At 45.0% G+C, this 14,914-nt stretch overlaps 1 protein-coding gene across 35 annotated transcripts in view, besides 2 other annotated features; it reads left to right on the forward strand.

Annotated features, from left to right (window-relative positions):
• The window catches only part of GRAMD1B (GRAM domain containing 1B), a 269,346-nt gene that overhangs the window by 177,746 nt on the left and 76,686 nt on the right, over nt 1-14,914 (forward strand). The gene's annotated exons all lie outside the window — the stretch shown is intronic.
• Nucleotides 1,042-1,616: an enhancer, noted in NCBI's record as "OCT4-NANOG hESC enhancer chr11:123407917-123408491 (GRCh37/hg19 assembly coordinates)". NCBI's record gives its function as "activates a minimal SCP1, AML or CMV promoter by ChIP-STARR-seq in naive H9 embryonic stem cells {active_cell/tissue: H9 hESC(naive)}" and the evidence as "EXISTENCE:reporter gene assay evidence [ECO:0000049][PMID:30033119]".
• Nucleotides 11,219-11,288: a silencer, noted in NCBI's record as "silent region_4019". NCBI's record gives its function as "represses an Ori minimal core promoter by ATAC-STARR-seq in GM12878 lymphoblastoid cells {active_cell/tissue: GM12878}" and the evidence as "EXISTENCE:reporter gene assay evidence [ECO:0000049][PMID:35858748]".

Below are 14,914 nucleotides of genomic sequence, written 5' to 3' on the forward strand. Positions count from 1 at the left end.
ACTTTGGGAGGCTGGGGCAGGTGGATCACTTGAGGCCAGGAGTTTAAGACCAGCCTGGCCAACATGGTGAAACCCCATCTCTACCAAAAACGTGAAAATTAGCTGGGTGTGGTGGTGCATGCCTGTAATCCAAGCTACTTGGGAGGTTGAGGCATGAGAATAGCTTCAACCCCAGAGGTAGAGGTTGCAGTGAGCCGAGATCTAACCACTGGACTCCAGCCTGGGTGACAGAGCAAGACCTTATCTCAAAAAATATGTAAATAAATGAAAAATAAAATAAAATAAAATCGGGTTAATGACATCTACCCCAGAGGGCTGTTGTGAAGACTGTCAGGATTCAATGAAATAATTCGTGTTGATGCTCTTGGGATGGGGCCTGGCACGTTATAAAAGTTAGCTGCCCCTATATTTTTTTTGTTTTATATTTAGCACTATATACAGAAAACATGGCTACAGTCCTTGCCTTTCCTGCACTTAAAATTTACTACTGTTTTTCATGCCTTAGGTGGGGCCAGCGAGTTCTGATCATTATTATTTTTCTAGTAGTGCCTTTCTCAGGACACAAGGTCACTATCAGTCAGTTTGACCCTTCCTTTCAAGTGAACAGCCTCCCCAGTCATGTGTTTTGGTCTCATTGCTGGAGCTCTTCCAACTCCTGTCCCACAAGGTTATGGTCACTTGACCACTGCACTGGAGGCTGGAACTTGTTCTACATTTACTGGAAGTGTGACTTTGGGCAAGTCACCAATGACCTCATCTCTAAGATGATGGGCAGGATTAGAGCAGTAGATTGGTCTCTCAGACCTTCGGGGGCTTCATGCTAAGGATCTTTAGTGTACAAGACCTTTAATATTCTTCCTGAGTTTCCACTGGATTCTTTCTGCCCCGTCTTGAATTAATTGTTTGTTTACTAAACTGACATTTCTTGAGTATCTACTGGGCTAGGTGGCAAGCATAAAAGGATGAGTCAGTACTGGTTGTTGCTCTAGCAGAGTGCCTGCTGTCATGGGGGTAGCCAGAGCTGGACCTCCCTTTCAGGTAGGGTCTTATAGGAAAATTCCACTGGAAAACTGAGATGCCTCTTCTACTGTAGTGCAAATAGATTTATCTTTCAGTTCAGACCTCTTTTTGGGCCCTTTCTCCTGAGACTGGGAGATTCTTTGTTTCATAATTGCTTCCCTGAAGTGACCTCAACTGTCTTTTCTTATTGAAAGGTCATAGTTTACATCCAGGGACATTATGACAATGACATGCAAAGCTCCTTTGTTTTCTAGAGGCTTAACTTCACAAACCTGAGGATGCAAATTTTGGGAACTGACCATTGAGCTTTTGAAGGTGATCTGCTGTGCTGGTTGCACATTATTTTCCTCAGGCTTCTTCTCGATCTGAAATGTACCTTTTTATGCGTTTATCTTGCATCTGTTAACTCTGGCATGTTCAAATGGTTTCTGTTAACCCCCTGATTTCATTAGCCAAGAGTTTCTACTTCACGTTCTTGCTTTCTTTGATATAAACAAGCAAAACACATTTGTACCTTGTGGGGCCTATGAGTAATAGGAGCCAACCATTACCATTTAGCGATTGAGCTTTCCTTGTATAAGCCAGTATGTTCATAGCAGCAATGATAGTTCTCCTTTTTACAAAAATCTGTACTTGGTGCAGTAAGTACTTAGTGCTGTTAAATACTGAAGAGTATTGTGTGTGCAGCTATAGAACTGGTTTTTCTCGCTTGTTGCAGTCTTAACTGCTTTCTGTGGCTAAATTCTCCTAAGTGTGTTTCTAGGCATAAGTTAGGACAGTTTTTATGCTGATCACTAGTGCTATAATATAATTCATAGTTGTCATCATTAGTCACAAGGTACCCTTAGCCACATCCTTGCCAGGAAAAGGAATATGAACTACGAATGAGCACCTGTCTCCCTCTTTCTATTCTTCTTGGGACGGGCTAAGCTTCATGCATTTGCTGCATGAAAAACATATTTATAACTATCTCCCATCCAACCTCCTCTTCACATCCTCCTCTCCCAGTCATTTATACTGGGAGCTTTTGCAGCATTTTTTCATTGTTCTTCCTCACTCTCCATGTGGTTCTGTCTTTGCAGTGTCTCCCTGACTTATACTACTCTGTTTCCTTAGACTCTTGCCACCTTCCTAATTTATCACCTTCTAGTGTCTTGCTTGGCATGGTGGAACAGCCACCTGACTGATTTCCCCTTTTGAAAACAGCTTCATTTTGATATAATCATGTACTGTACAATTCACTCATTTAAGATGTACAATTCAAAGGCCTTTAATTTGCAGCTATTACCACAGTCAACTTTACATCTCAACACCTCAAAAAGAATCCCCACACCATTTAGCTAGCAGTCCCTTACTCACCCTCACCCCTCGGCCCAGCTCTAGGCAACCACTTTCTATTTCTGTAGATTTCCCTATTCTGGACTTTATTTTATTTTATTTTATTTTTTTTTGAGACAGAGTCTCACTCTGTCGCCAGGTTAGAGTGCAGTGGCTCAATCTGGGCTCACTGCAACCTCTGCTTCCCGGGTTCAAGCGATCCTCCCACCTTAACCTCCTGAGTAGCTGGGACTACAGGCACGCATCACCACACCTGACTAATTGTTTTTTTTATTTTTAGTAGAGACAGGGTTTCACCATGTTGGTCAGGCTGGTCTTGAACTCCTGATCTTTCCTCAGGTGATCCACCCACCTCAGCCTCCTAAAGTGCCGGGATTACAGGTGTGAGCCACCGCGCCCAGTTCTGGACTTTAATATGAATGGAATTATATGGACTTTTGTTTCTGGTTTCTTTCACTTAGCATAACATTTTCAAGTTTCATCCAAGTTGTAGCATGTATCAGTACTTCGTTACTTTCTCTGGCTGTATAATCTCTTAATTTTTAAGTTCAGAGCTAGGCTTGGTGGCTCACACCTGTAATCCCAGCTACTCGGCAGGCCAAGGCAGGAGGATCACTTGATCCCAGGAGTTCAAGGATGTTACAATGAACCATAATCATGCTACTATACTCTAGCCAGGGTGACAGGGTAAGACCCTGTCTCTTAAAAACAAAAAACTCCAAACAATTGGGTCCAATTTTCATTCAGCTGTCATACAAGTAACATTACCAACGCTTCTTCAACACCTGAATTTGGGTTAAATGTGGTGGCTCACGCCTGTAATCTCAGCACTTTGGGAGGCTAAGGGTAGAGAATTGCTTGAACCCATGAGTTCAAAACCAGCTTAAGCAACATAGTGAGACCCCATGTCCAAAAATAAAAATAAAAATTAGCCAGACATGGTGGTATGCACCTGTTGTCCTAGCTCCTCAGGAGGCTGAGGTGGAAGGATCACTTGAGCCAGGAGGTTGAGGTTTCAGTGAGCCATAATCACACCACTGCACTCCAGCCTGGGTGACAGAGAGAGACCCTGTCTCAAACAAACAAACAAACAAAACCCAAACCCTGAATTTGATTCCCATTACTTACAAAATACAGTTGACACCCTGAACGGCATGCAGGGTGTTCTCTTGGCTGTCCCCATCCTGACTGTCCAGCCTCATCACTCAGTCCATTCTCTTATTGCAGCTACCGACACCCTCATCCATTGCAGGGCATGTCACATACCGTTTCTATCTCTGCAGTATTTAATTCTGCTGTTCCTTTGCTTATGCTTAGTGTTTCTGCCTACGGAAATCCCAGTTATCCTCCAGAATTTAGTTTCAGTACCTCCTCCTTGAAGAAATCTTTGCAGATTTAATTGATCCGCGAGTAGGAATTAGTTGTTTTCTATTCTCTGAGCACTATGGATTCCTATAATTTCAGTGTCTTGGGTTAGATATCATTCTGTCTTTTATAACATATTAAATCTTCTCTAAGAGTAAAGAGTTATCTCAATTTTTCTATCTTCCTTTTTTTTTTTTGAGATAAGGTTTCTGTCATGTGGGCTGGAGTGCAGTGGCATGACCACAGCTCACTGTACCCTTGACCTCCTGGGCTCAAGTGATCCTCCCACCTCAGCCTCCCAAGTGGCTGAGACTATAGGTGTGCACCACCATACTCAGGTTTTTTGGTTGTTTTTTTTTTTGTATTTTTTGTATAGACGGAATTTCACTGTGTTGCCCAAACTGGTCTCAAACAACCGGGCTTAAGTGATCCACTCACCTTGGGCTCCCAAACAGTTGGGATTACAAGCATGAGCCACAGCACCCAGCTGAGTTATCCTAATTTCTCTTTTATTTTCTCAGTGTACTTTCTACAAGGCTTTACACATAGTTGGTGCTCAAAAAGTATTTGCTGGATAATTGATGACACTTTGCATTTGTATAGTATTTTTGCTTTTTAGAGTTCTCTTACATATGTCTTCTCTTTAGTAAATTAGAATTAACTAATAATGTGAAGAGAAAGTTATCAGTAATCATAATTTGTTTGACTGTTGTTTTTTTTTTAACACAAATTATCCATGGGCATTGTATAAAAATTAGAAAATATAAAGAGCCAAAAGAAAACGAAATTGGTCATAATACCACCCCATATTAGCATTTTGGTTTATATCCTTCAAGCTATTTTTTCTATATATATTATAGATAGATACACACATACATTTAAGTCATCCTATATATTCTGATAATTAACAATATCTGATCTCTCTATAACAATAAGTGTTGGTTTTCATAGTTAATTTTAAGGATAGCATCACAAACATGCATCCCTATCTGTCCAATCTACTTGTATTTGACATTGAGCTTATCTGTAGTTTTTTTTAATTTAAAAATAAATGTCATGACTAGCATTTTTCTTTTCTTTTCTTTTCTTTTTTTTCTTTTTGAGACGGAGTTCGCTCTTGTTGCCCAGGCTAGATTGCAATGGCGTGATCTCGGCTCATCGCAACCTCCGCCTCCCGGGTTCAAGGAGTTCTCCTGCCTCAGCCTCCCGAGTAGCTGGTATTACAGGCATGTGCCACCACGCCCTGCTAGTTTTTTGTATTTTTTAGTACAGACGGAGTTTCTCCATGTTGGTCAGGCTGGTCTCAAACTCCTGACCTCAGGTGATCCACCTGCCTCGGTGTCCCAAAGTACTGGGATTACAGGGACTAGCATTCTTTAGATAGAAACCTAGAAGCCAGATTTCTGGGTCCCTAGTCCAAACTGCCTTTCAGAGAGGCTGTTCCAGCTTACACACCAAGCAGCAAGTCATGAGTACTGGCTTCCTCCCCGTGTCCTTCCTTGCCTCGGTATTTCCATTCTTTTTAGCCTTTGCCAATCTGATATTTCAAAAATGGTATCTCAGAGTTACATTGGTTTGCATTTCTTTGATCATTGGTAACATGTTATTAATTTTCATATGATCTATTTATATTTCTTCTGTGAATTGATTTTTTTTTTTTTTGGCCTTTGCTCCCTTTCTTGTTGACTTGTTTGTCTTTTTTATTCGTTGGAACTCTTTAATAAAGATATTAACCTTTGGTAATACATGTTGCAAGTACTTTCCCAGAGTTTCTTTTGTCTATTAACTTTAAGCTGATTTTTAGCCTATATAAGTTTGTTGGTTTGTTTGAATATAATCACATCAATCACTCTTTTCCTGTATGGTTTCTACATCTGGAATTATTCACAGGAAGTTCCTCCTGAAGTTTAAGAGTATATGTATTCTTATCCTATGCCTTTTTTTTGAGTCCTTCTGTGATTTTAAAAATTAATACATTAGTACACCTTGATATAATATTATATCTACTTTTATAAAACCTAGATGACTAAATAAATCTCAATCATGGAATTAGAGGGGACTTTGACAGTCATGTCCATTTTCCTAGCATCAGGTGCCAGGTAGATGAGTACCCCTTCCAGAGTGTGACTGTCGACCACTTCCCATCACTCCCCCATATTTTTCATTAGCTTTTCTAAAATCAGCCACTTTATTTTATGCCAGCTATGTATTTCCTAGTACCTGTCCTTAGTAGGTTGGTTTGAGGACTAAATCAGTTTGTAAATGAGATATAGAGCAATCTATAGTGCACCGAGTGGCACACCAACATTCCACATATGTCTTGGTGTATGTGAATGCATGGATGGTGGCATGAACAGTGATGCCAGATCCCTGAGGATAATGTAAGATAGCAGCTCTTTCATTGAAGCAGGGCCTTGGCCAGGCAACTGAGAGCACTCGCCAGTTACAAGGTCCCATAGGGAACGTGGAAGGAAGGAAACGTCATGGGATGCCTTTGAGAAGCGAATAGTCTGAGGGTTTTGAGAGACCTCATAGGCACTCACAGGCCATGCATAATGTACATCAGCAGGCATGAACTGTACTGGAGAATTCCACGGGATGCTGGAGAGTTTGTGCTCTGGGAGAATTTATCAGGGAAGTCTCCCTGGGGAAGAAGCATTGGGAGCAGAGCTTTGAAGAAAAGCTGGGACCACATAGGGTGGGTTTGTGGAATGAGGTCATTCTATGCGGAGAGAATGATGCCAGCAAGTAGGTTTTTGTTTTGTTTTGTTTTGTTTTTTAGACGGAATTTTGCTCTTGTTGCCCAGGGTGGAGTGCAATGGCATGATCTTGGCTCATTGCAACCTCCGCCTCCTGGGTTCAAGCAATTCTTCTGCTTCAGCCTCCCGAGTAGCTGGGATTACAGGTGCGTGCCACCATGCCCGGCTAATTTTTTGTATTTCCAGTAAAGACGGGGTTTCACCATGTTGCCCAGGCTGGTCTTGAACTCCTGACCTCAGGTGATCCACTCGCCTCAGCCTCCCAAAGTGCTGGGATTACAGGCATGAGCCACTGCGCCCAGCCTGGCGAGTAGTTTTTCTTTTTCTTTTTTTTTTTAAATTGAAACAGTGAAGTGAATTTGTTTCTTCCCTGTCTACCTCCTTTGCACTTGATTTCACTGTTTCCTCATTCTCAGCTTACTTTTTATACCTCTCGATTTTACTGCCGTTAAGAAATTGTCATTTTGCAGTGCTCGAGCTTCTGGGTGGGAAGACACCAGGGAGCAGGAAATAAACACATCTCAGAGAGCCTTCTGAGAGAACGCCAACCATAGCCTCTCTGCCAGCCTTCACTGCCAACCAAGGTAGAGGTGAAATGCTTGCTTTCTAAGATTTACCTGGAGCATGGTAGGCACTCCCCTATTTAACTGGATCAGTGAAAGAATAAAAATATACATGGACTTTCTGAGATGTGTAGCTGTTCAGGAAGCTGGTAAAGAACAGACCTGAAACCTCTGTGGCCAGGGAAGTTGGATAGGGGATGGACATTTGCTATGAAGGACATTGGTGTGGACACCTTGGGGGTGGCCATTCAACCCTCACTAAGTTGGCCAAAGGAGGAAACCCTGCTTATGGGCAGCTCCCACTGTCACATAACAGCAAGAAAAAGAAACCTTTGAAGTGGAGAGAGATACCTATAAACTCTGGATATGAATGCTGAGGAAACCAGAATAGAGAAGTCAGTGCAGTTGGCTGGTGTTAGCCAGAAACTTTTCTTGGAAGTCAAGTAACTGGGTAAAATACTTGCATTCCTAAGGTAGAAGGTCAAGAAATAGGCTTCTGCCTCCATATCTTTGATCCCATTTCGCAGAAGAATTCGCCATTTCCTCCACTGATGCCATCCTTTATCTCAGGGGTCAGCAAACTTCAGCCCGCTGCCTGTTTTTGTAATTTGTTCTAGGATGTAGTCACAGGCTTTCATTTACTTGTTGTCTGTGACTGCTCTTGCCCTATCACAACAGAGTTCAGTAGTTAGGACAGACTGTGTGGTCTGCAAAGCTTAAAGTATTTACTGTCCGGCCCTTTGCAGAAAAAGTTTGCCGACCTTGCTTTATATTGTTAGCAGTTGAATAATTCTGAGTTGTTTTTCCACAAGACTCATGGTGACTCATGGTTTGCACCAGCCCGTGCAATTTTCTTAATGAGGGCCTCCTTTGCTCATGGCATTATTTGCAAGATGATTTACTAGAACCAGGGGTGTGGTCTGGGAATTAGGCCTTTTGAGGAGAGATTGAACATCTGAGCTGCCTACAAGACACACATGGAGTGGCTAGTGCCCTAATAACAGACAGTATTTGTTTCTGATATTTATTTACTGCTCAATGTATGCCAATATTGTAGAGAAATCAAGGCTAAGAAGTTAGGAAAGGTACCCAAGGTCAAGTACCAGGATTTGAACCCAGTCTGCAGAATAAAAGCCCTTGCCCTAACCACCCCACTGCTTCCAACCAAACCCCTGACCACCTTTCCTTCCTAACTCTTTCTACTCTCTACTCTGTTCTCTTTGTGATTTCTGGGCCAATTGTCGGTTAGCCTTTGCTCTTTTAGTTCATATATGTCTCTCTTGGAGCATTCACTCCTTGGCCAGTTTTCTTTTTGACCCCACCCCTCCTCCTGTAGGTGGCTTTCCAACCTTGCTCCAACACCCATTTCTTGCTAACTCTCCCTGGGAGGAAAACTTGAGATGCACAGGAGGTCCTGGGTTCCCTCCACATCAGCCATTCCTGCCCTGTCACTGAGCATTGCCCACAGCGGCGGTTGTCATCCAGGTGCCCTGCCTTCTTCAGAAGCCAGCAGGTGCACAGAGAACCAGCTGGAAAGGGCATTGCCACCAGGGCCCCCGGGCCCCAAAGTGCCAAAAAGGCAGCCTCTGGATAGGCTGAGCTGGCATTTCTGACCTTTGTGTAGAGAGGACGTCCTTAAAGGGACAGCGAGCTCTTTTCTTTCCTGGTGGCTGACTGCCAGTTCAGATGCCAGGGGTTTGAAGAGGCCATTGTTCTGGCGATGGGAGATAGGGGCCAGACCGCCTAGTCTCTTTTTCTTTCCCTGTTACCAACTGCCTGTCTCCCTCTGATGTGCAGCGTGTCAAGTGTGGAAGGACAGTGGGCTGTCTTTGGTCACATACCCTCCCCTCCTCTGAAGGCAGCCTTGTCACCGAGGCTAAGGGACAGAATTGCCTCACAGCCACCAGCTCCCCTCCTCCAGGGCAGCCGCCCCGGTGCGAGAAAGAATGGTCTCTGCAGACTTCAGTGAGGTGCCCGCATCAGTTTCTGTGCCCCAAGTGGGTGGGGTGAAGTGGGAGGACTGCAGGCACCCTTTCTCCAGTGCCTTCCTTTCCTGCCCCACCCACCCTAGAATCGCCTTAGGTGCTTGTTAAAACTACAGATTCTGGGTTCCAATTCCAGAATTTCTGGGCCCCGGGAATCCGATTATCAATAAGCACACCACAGTTTGAGAACCACTGACTTAGTGATTCCCAAACCTGGCTAGTCATCAGAATCATGTGGGGACCTAGTCCATCAGAATATCTGCCTGGGGCCCATGAATTTGAGCAGGGTAGCTTCTCGTTAGTGGTCAAGAGCAGGTATCCTGGAGCCAGGCCCCTGGGTTTGAATCCTAGCCCCACCAGCTACTATCTGTACGCTCTTGGGTAAGTTTCTCAGCCAATCTCTGCCTCTTTTCTCACCTCTAAAATAGGCTTATGATAGTGCTCATTAAATAGAATTGTTATGAGAATTAAAGGAATTAATATTTATAAAGTTCTTACAACAGAACTGCCTCATTGATAAGAGTATTATGTAAGTTTTCATGAAATCTTTCTCTTTTTTTTTTGGTAAACTAACTGGTCATCTAAGTTGGAGATCACAATTTGAATAATCTCTTATCAGCAAGGTTGCCTGGCTAAGCTGGCTTTTCTGTGTGCTTTACTAAATGACCAGCAATTCTCTGAGCTGAGCCCAGGCTAGTCCTCAGTTCAGTCTGCGTGACTTGTTCTGCAAAGGCAGCCCTGTCATTTGTCCTCCCTGCCTTGTGGCTTACAGAGTGAGGAGAAAAATCCCTTCCTGGTTTCCACCACCAGGCAATGTGGACAGCATCGGCAAGTCTGTCCCAGGAGGGCCCAGAAGCCACATCTACAAGGCTCACTGACCTCTTTGGATGGAATTGAAGGAAAACAAGCTGCAGGCCAGGAATAGCTAGACATAAGTACAAGGTATTATAATTACTACCCACGCCCAAATTGGTCCCCTGAGTTAAATTTAACCCTCTGCACAGTCTTCTGACCTCAGGGAAGGAGGATGGACAGAAGTGTCTGTGGGGGATCGGGGTGGGTGTAGCCAGGAGTATGTGGGAGGCATTACCCTTGGGAGCTCTGTCAAGCCAAAATGGGCACCACGGTTCAGCACGCATCCAAGCTTTTATTATAACTTCCTGGTTTTGCTCAACTACTACTTTTCTGAAAATGATGCTGTTAGACTACATGTCTAGTATTCAGCTCAAGGTTTCTTTTTCTTCTTGTACTCTTTAATCTCTCTTTCTATTCACTACTTAGGAGACTTATTTGTCCAGCTGCTTATGAATATGGCATGAGGTATGTGGAGGTTGGGAGAGATGGCCAACCTGGGAGGACTGAGCTGCCCAGCTTCAATCTGCCCCTGTTCCCCAGTGAGGTCTGGGAGTAATCAAGGCTGGAAAAGGGCCATTGGTCGAGGAGAGAATTCTAATGCCACATAGCAGACAATGGTATTTTACAGATCCTGATATCAGGGGTTTTGGTGAGTCAAATGTTAGATTATTTAGAAGAAAACCATCCAGTCCTCCAGGGCGTGTCTGTGGATGTTTTCCATCTTGACTACAAATGTCAGCATACAGGGACCCAGCAGTGGGCAGAGCTTTCCTAGCATCCACTCCCTCCCACTTGTGCATATTTCACAAGACTTCCAGGAAGCTGCACAGGGCCATTTCTGTTCTTGGTGGGGGTTTGGACACCTTTGGTTGCTCTGAACCCAGAATGACCAGTAGGAGCAGGGCCTCAGTGGATTGAGAGACACAACCTGTCAACCTGTCTTGAGAGAAGGATTTGGTTACCTAGTTAAGAATATCAACCCACTCTTTTGGAGGTGAATGGAAGAGACCCCATGGTTTCTTTTCCTTTCCTACTTTTATCACCTCCTCTTTGGAGGAAGCTACAGAGGCAATACCTGCTTTGGGTGGAAATTGGGCTGAGCGAGATTGAAAGGCCTTTCCACTTTGGAGATCTGTGAGTCTATGGATATATTTCTGGCCCCCAACAATAGAGGGAGGACCCCAACTCTCAATCTGGAGAAGAAGGATCTATAAAATAGAAGCAGATGGATGTCCCTGGTGGTTTCCAGTACAAAAATCACATGGCCCTGTGCTCACTCCTCCTCTGGGGCTTTGCTGGATGTCACCTGCTACTGGGCACTGTGCAGACAGTTGATGTCTCAGAGTTGGGAGGTTTTTAGAGGGAGTCTGGACTGAGATGAGGATGTGAAACCAATCTCTTGACTAGGAACTCACCTCCTATGCACTAGCCTCTTGCAATGTTTGTGAGAGTGGCCTAAACTCTTAGAATATTCCTTGTTATTTCAAACCCAATTATGCCATCTGATAACCTCCCTCTGGAGGAACAAAAAAAAGACCTTTCTCCCCTTTTGCTTCCCCTCTCTCTTCCTCCTCTGAGATACTCAAAATCCTGTTTACCTTAAGGCATCTCTCCTTTAGTCTAAACATGCCTAGTTACTTTACAGTTTTGCACAGGGCAGGGTTTTTAGACCCACACTGTCTTTATTTATCTTTGAACAATAGGCCTTGCCGAGTATGATGCTTTCTAGTTATGCCCCTTACTGACATCATCTGTGGTGGGATTAGTACATTCCTTCACTTGCTTCAGTTGACAAGGCCCACATGTGTTAATTATTCTTACAGTCATGTTGTAATTTTGGTCCATGCTGAGCTTTATGGCCTTCACCTGCTGGAAGTTAGACTTTCACACTCCTGCATTTGTAGAGGACAGGTCCTTGCCAAGGGTCAGGGGCTTATTCTGCAGTACTGCCTACCTCAGGCAGGCTCCGGCATCTGGGGTGGGTGCACAGCTGCATGATCCATAGTGTATGGACTGTAGGATGGGAATCAGATTTTGGTTAGGGCCATGTTATCAATGACGTGAGAAGAGATTGCAATGGGGGGTGAGGCACTGCTAGGATGTCATAGCTTGTGCCCGTGGGTGAGTCGGTGTCTGCAGCTTGTCATTTGGCTACTTTTATCCTTAGATCTCTTCTCTCCTGACTTGTTCCCTTCCAGTCCCCACTAGGTTTAAATTGGAAGAGTCAGGCTGTGCCAAAATATATATATATATATATATATATATATATATATACACACACACACACACACACACACATATATATATATATGTACACACACACACACACACACACCCAGACAGGACCTGGCAACCTCTCAAAGCAGTGTGGGCACAACTGCAGAAAGCCAGGCAACAGACAGCACTTCCTGGAGTCCATACCTCCATGCCATCCTATGGAAAGAGAAATAGGGGAAGTTCTCTGAGTACCTGCATGCAAGCACTCCTGATTGCCCTCTGGAGAGTCCAGGCTGAATTAAAGAGGAGCTGGATTCGATGCTTGAAAATTAATTGAATGCTTGAAATGAATATATATATATATGAGTCACTTTGTCACCCAGGTTGGAGTGCAGTGGTGCAATCATGGCTTACTGCAGCTGTGAACTCCTGAGCTCAGGTGATCCTCCCGACTCTGCCTTTGGAGTAGCTGGAACCTCAAACATGTGTCACCACATCTGGCTGATTTTTAATTTTTTAAATAGAATCTGGGTCTTGTCATGTTGCCTAGGCTGGTCTCAAACTGCTGAGTTCAAGAGATCCTCCTGCCACGACCTTCCAGAGCACTGGGATTATAGGCAAGAGCCACTGTGCCCAGCCAGCCAAAACTCTTTAATGAGGATTGGTTTAGCATTTAGAGAGAGAGCGAGCAAGCCTCCCATCTGCCCAGCACAGCCTCCCACCCCCTCATGGCAGTGTAGCTGTTCTTCTCTGAAGAGGCAGGAAGATGCTGGGGAAGGGAGAGGAGAGGTAGTTAGTTGGAGGTGATGAAATGGTCAGAAGAGAGAAAGGAGAAACAGGGCAGGGTTCGGCAGTGCACAGCCGGGTTGCTGGTCCCATTGGCTGTGGTCAGCATGGCTGCCTTCTCCTGCTTCACTTCCTATGGCCACAGAGCCCAATTTTTCTGCATCTTCTTAACACTTGCAGAGCTGTGAGATGAAGAATGATTGTGGGGGCCGGGCGCAGCAGCTCATGCCTGTAATCCCAGCACTTTGGGAGGCCGAGGTGGGTGGATCACGAGGTCAGGAGATCGAAACCATCCTGGCTAAGACGGTGAAACCATCTCTACTAAAAATACAAAAAATTAGCTGGCCATGGTGGCGGGTGCCTGTAGTCCCAGCTACTCGGGAAGCTGAGGCAGGAGAACGGCGTGAACCTGGGAGGCAGAGCTTGCAGTGAGCCGAGATCGTGCCACTGCCCTCCAGTCTAGGCGACAGAGTGAGACTCAGTCTCAAAAAAAAAAGAATGATTGTGGACCTTTAGGACAGGAAATGACCTACAGAGTCATCTAAGTCATCTTAGACCAACTCCTCCTTATAACAGATGGGGAAACTGAGGCCCAGAGAAAGGGTGAGCTACATCCATGGTCACGCAGCAGTGTCATGCCATCTGAGTGCTCATACTCTATGAATGCAGATGCTGTCTTAAAGAGTGGGTTTTGGATTGCAGCATGTCAGTAACTCCTCCCTTAGTCTGAACCCTCCTCTTTAAGAGTCAAGTGTATATTGCATCCCTAACCAGGAAAAGGCCTGTCTGGAAACAAATGCATGAGCAGCCCAGGTGCTGCCCTGGGGGAGGGTGACTGAGCAGGCTGACTGTCATGGTCGGACATGTATGGGAAAAATGGGCACCAAGAAAAGATGTCCATAGATGTGAATAATCCACATCGTAGGTACACCCAGACAGGACCTGGCAGCCTCTCAAAGCAGTGTGGGCCAACTGCAGAAAGCCAGGCACCAGACAGCACTTCCTGGAGTCCGTACCTCCGTGCCATCCTATGGAAAGAGAAATAGGGGAAGTTCTCTAAGTAACTCACATCCGTGAGCGCTCCTGATTGCCCTCTGGAGAGTCCAGGCTGAATTAAAGAGGAGCTGGATTCGATGCTTGAAAATGAATTCCGTGCTTTACTTTCCTCCTGGGTCTTGTGTCCTGACTGCTCCCATTGATCAACCTCTCGAGACATGTGGGCGTGAGGATGGGGGCCAGGAGGTAACAGCAGCCCAGGGCCCTTGCCTTGACTTCTTTGGTTTCTCATGACTCATCATGATCTCCTTCCCCCCAGACTCACACATGCATACTCACACTCAGACACACCCACACACACTGACACATACTCTCTCATGCACACTCACTCTGCCATTGTCTTTCTCACTAGCTCCCAGTGCAGCACAGGAACCTAACAATAGTGTTTTCACGCCGTGAGCCCTGCTAACTGGCAAAGCCGGCTCGTTGTCTCTGGTTTAAAGGAAGAGTGGGGTGGAGGAAGGTGGAGGGGATGTTCATGTGGCTCAAGCCCAGGGCCAGTGGCAGGAGGGACTCAAGATCTGTTTTTAAGGACGACATGTCAGCATCTTAACTGGGGCATCCAGCAAGCAGACATCCCTCATTAAGACCTTAATCCAGGATTAAGAAAAGGTCAGTTACCTCTGCAAAGAGGTGATTTGGAGAGGGGCTTAGTGTCTCCTAATATCCTAGAGTGGGTAGAGGAGTGTAAGCCAGAGTGTGGTCACTGGCCTGTCCTAGGGGCCGGGACTCTCTAGAAATTCCAGGGTGGTACCGAATTCCCTGAGCCTCAGTTTGGCCTTTCTCTTAAACTTTAGCAATGTGTCTTGTCTCCTGTTCACACACATTCTTTGGTGGTAATTAGTACATGTCTTCAGTTGGAAAGGGACTCTACAAAAGACTTGGAGACAGATTTGCCTGCAGGAGTTTTATTGGGAAGTGCTGTTGGGAGCAAAGCTATAAGCAAGTGAGGGAATCAGGATTGGGCTGA

This window comes from Homo sapiens, chromosome 11 (genome assembly GCF_000001405.40).
Source record: "Homo sapiens chromosome 11, GRCh38.p14 Primary Assembly".
Taxonomy (NCBI): Eukaryota; Metazoa; Chordata; class Mammalia; order Primates; family Hominidae; genus Homo; species Homo sapiens.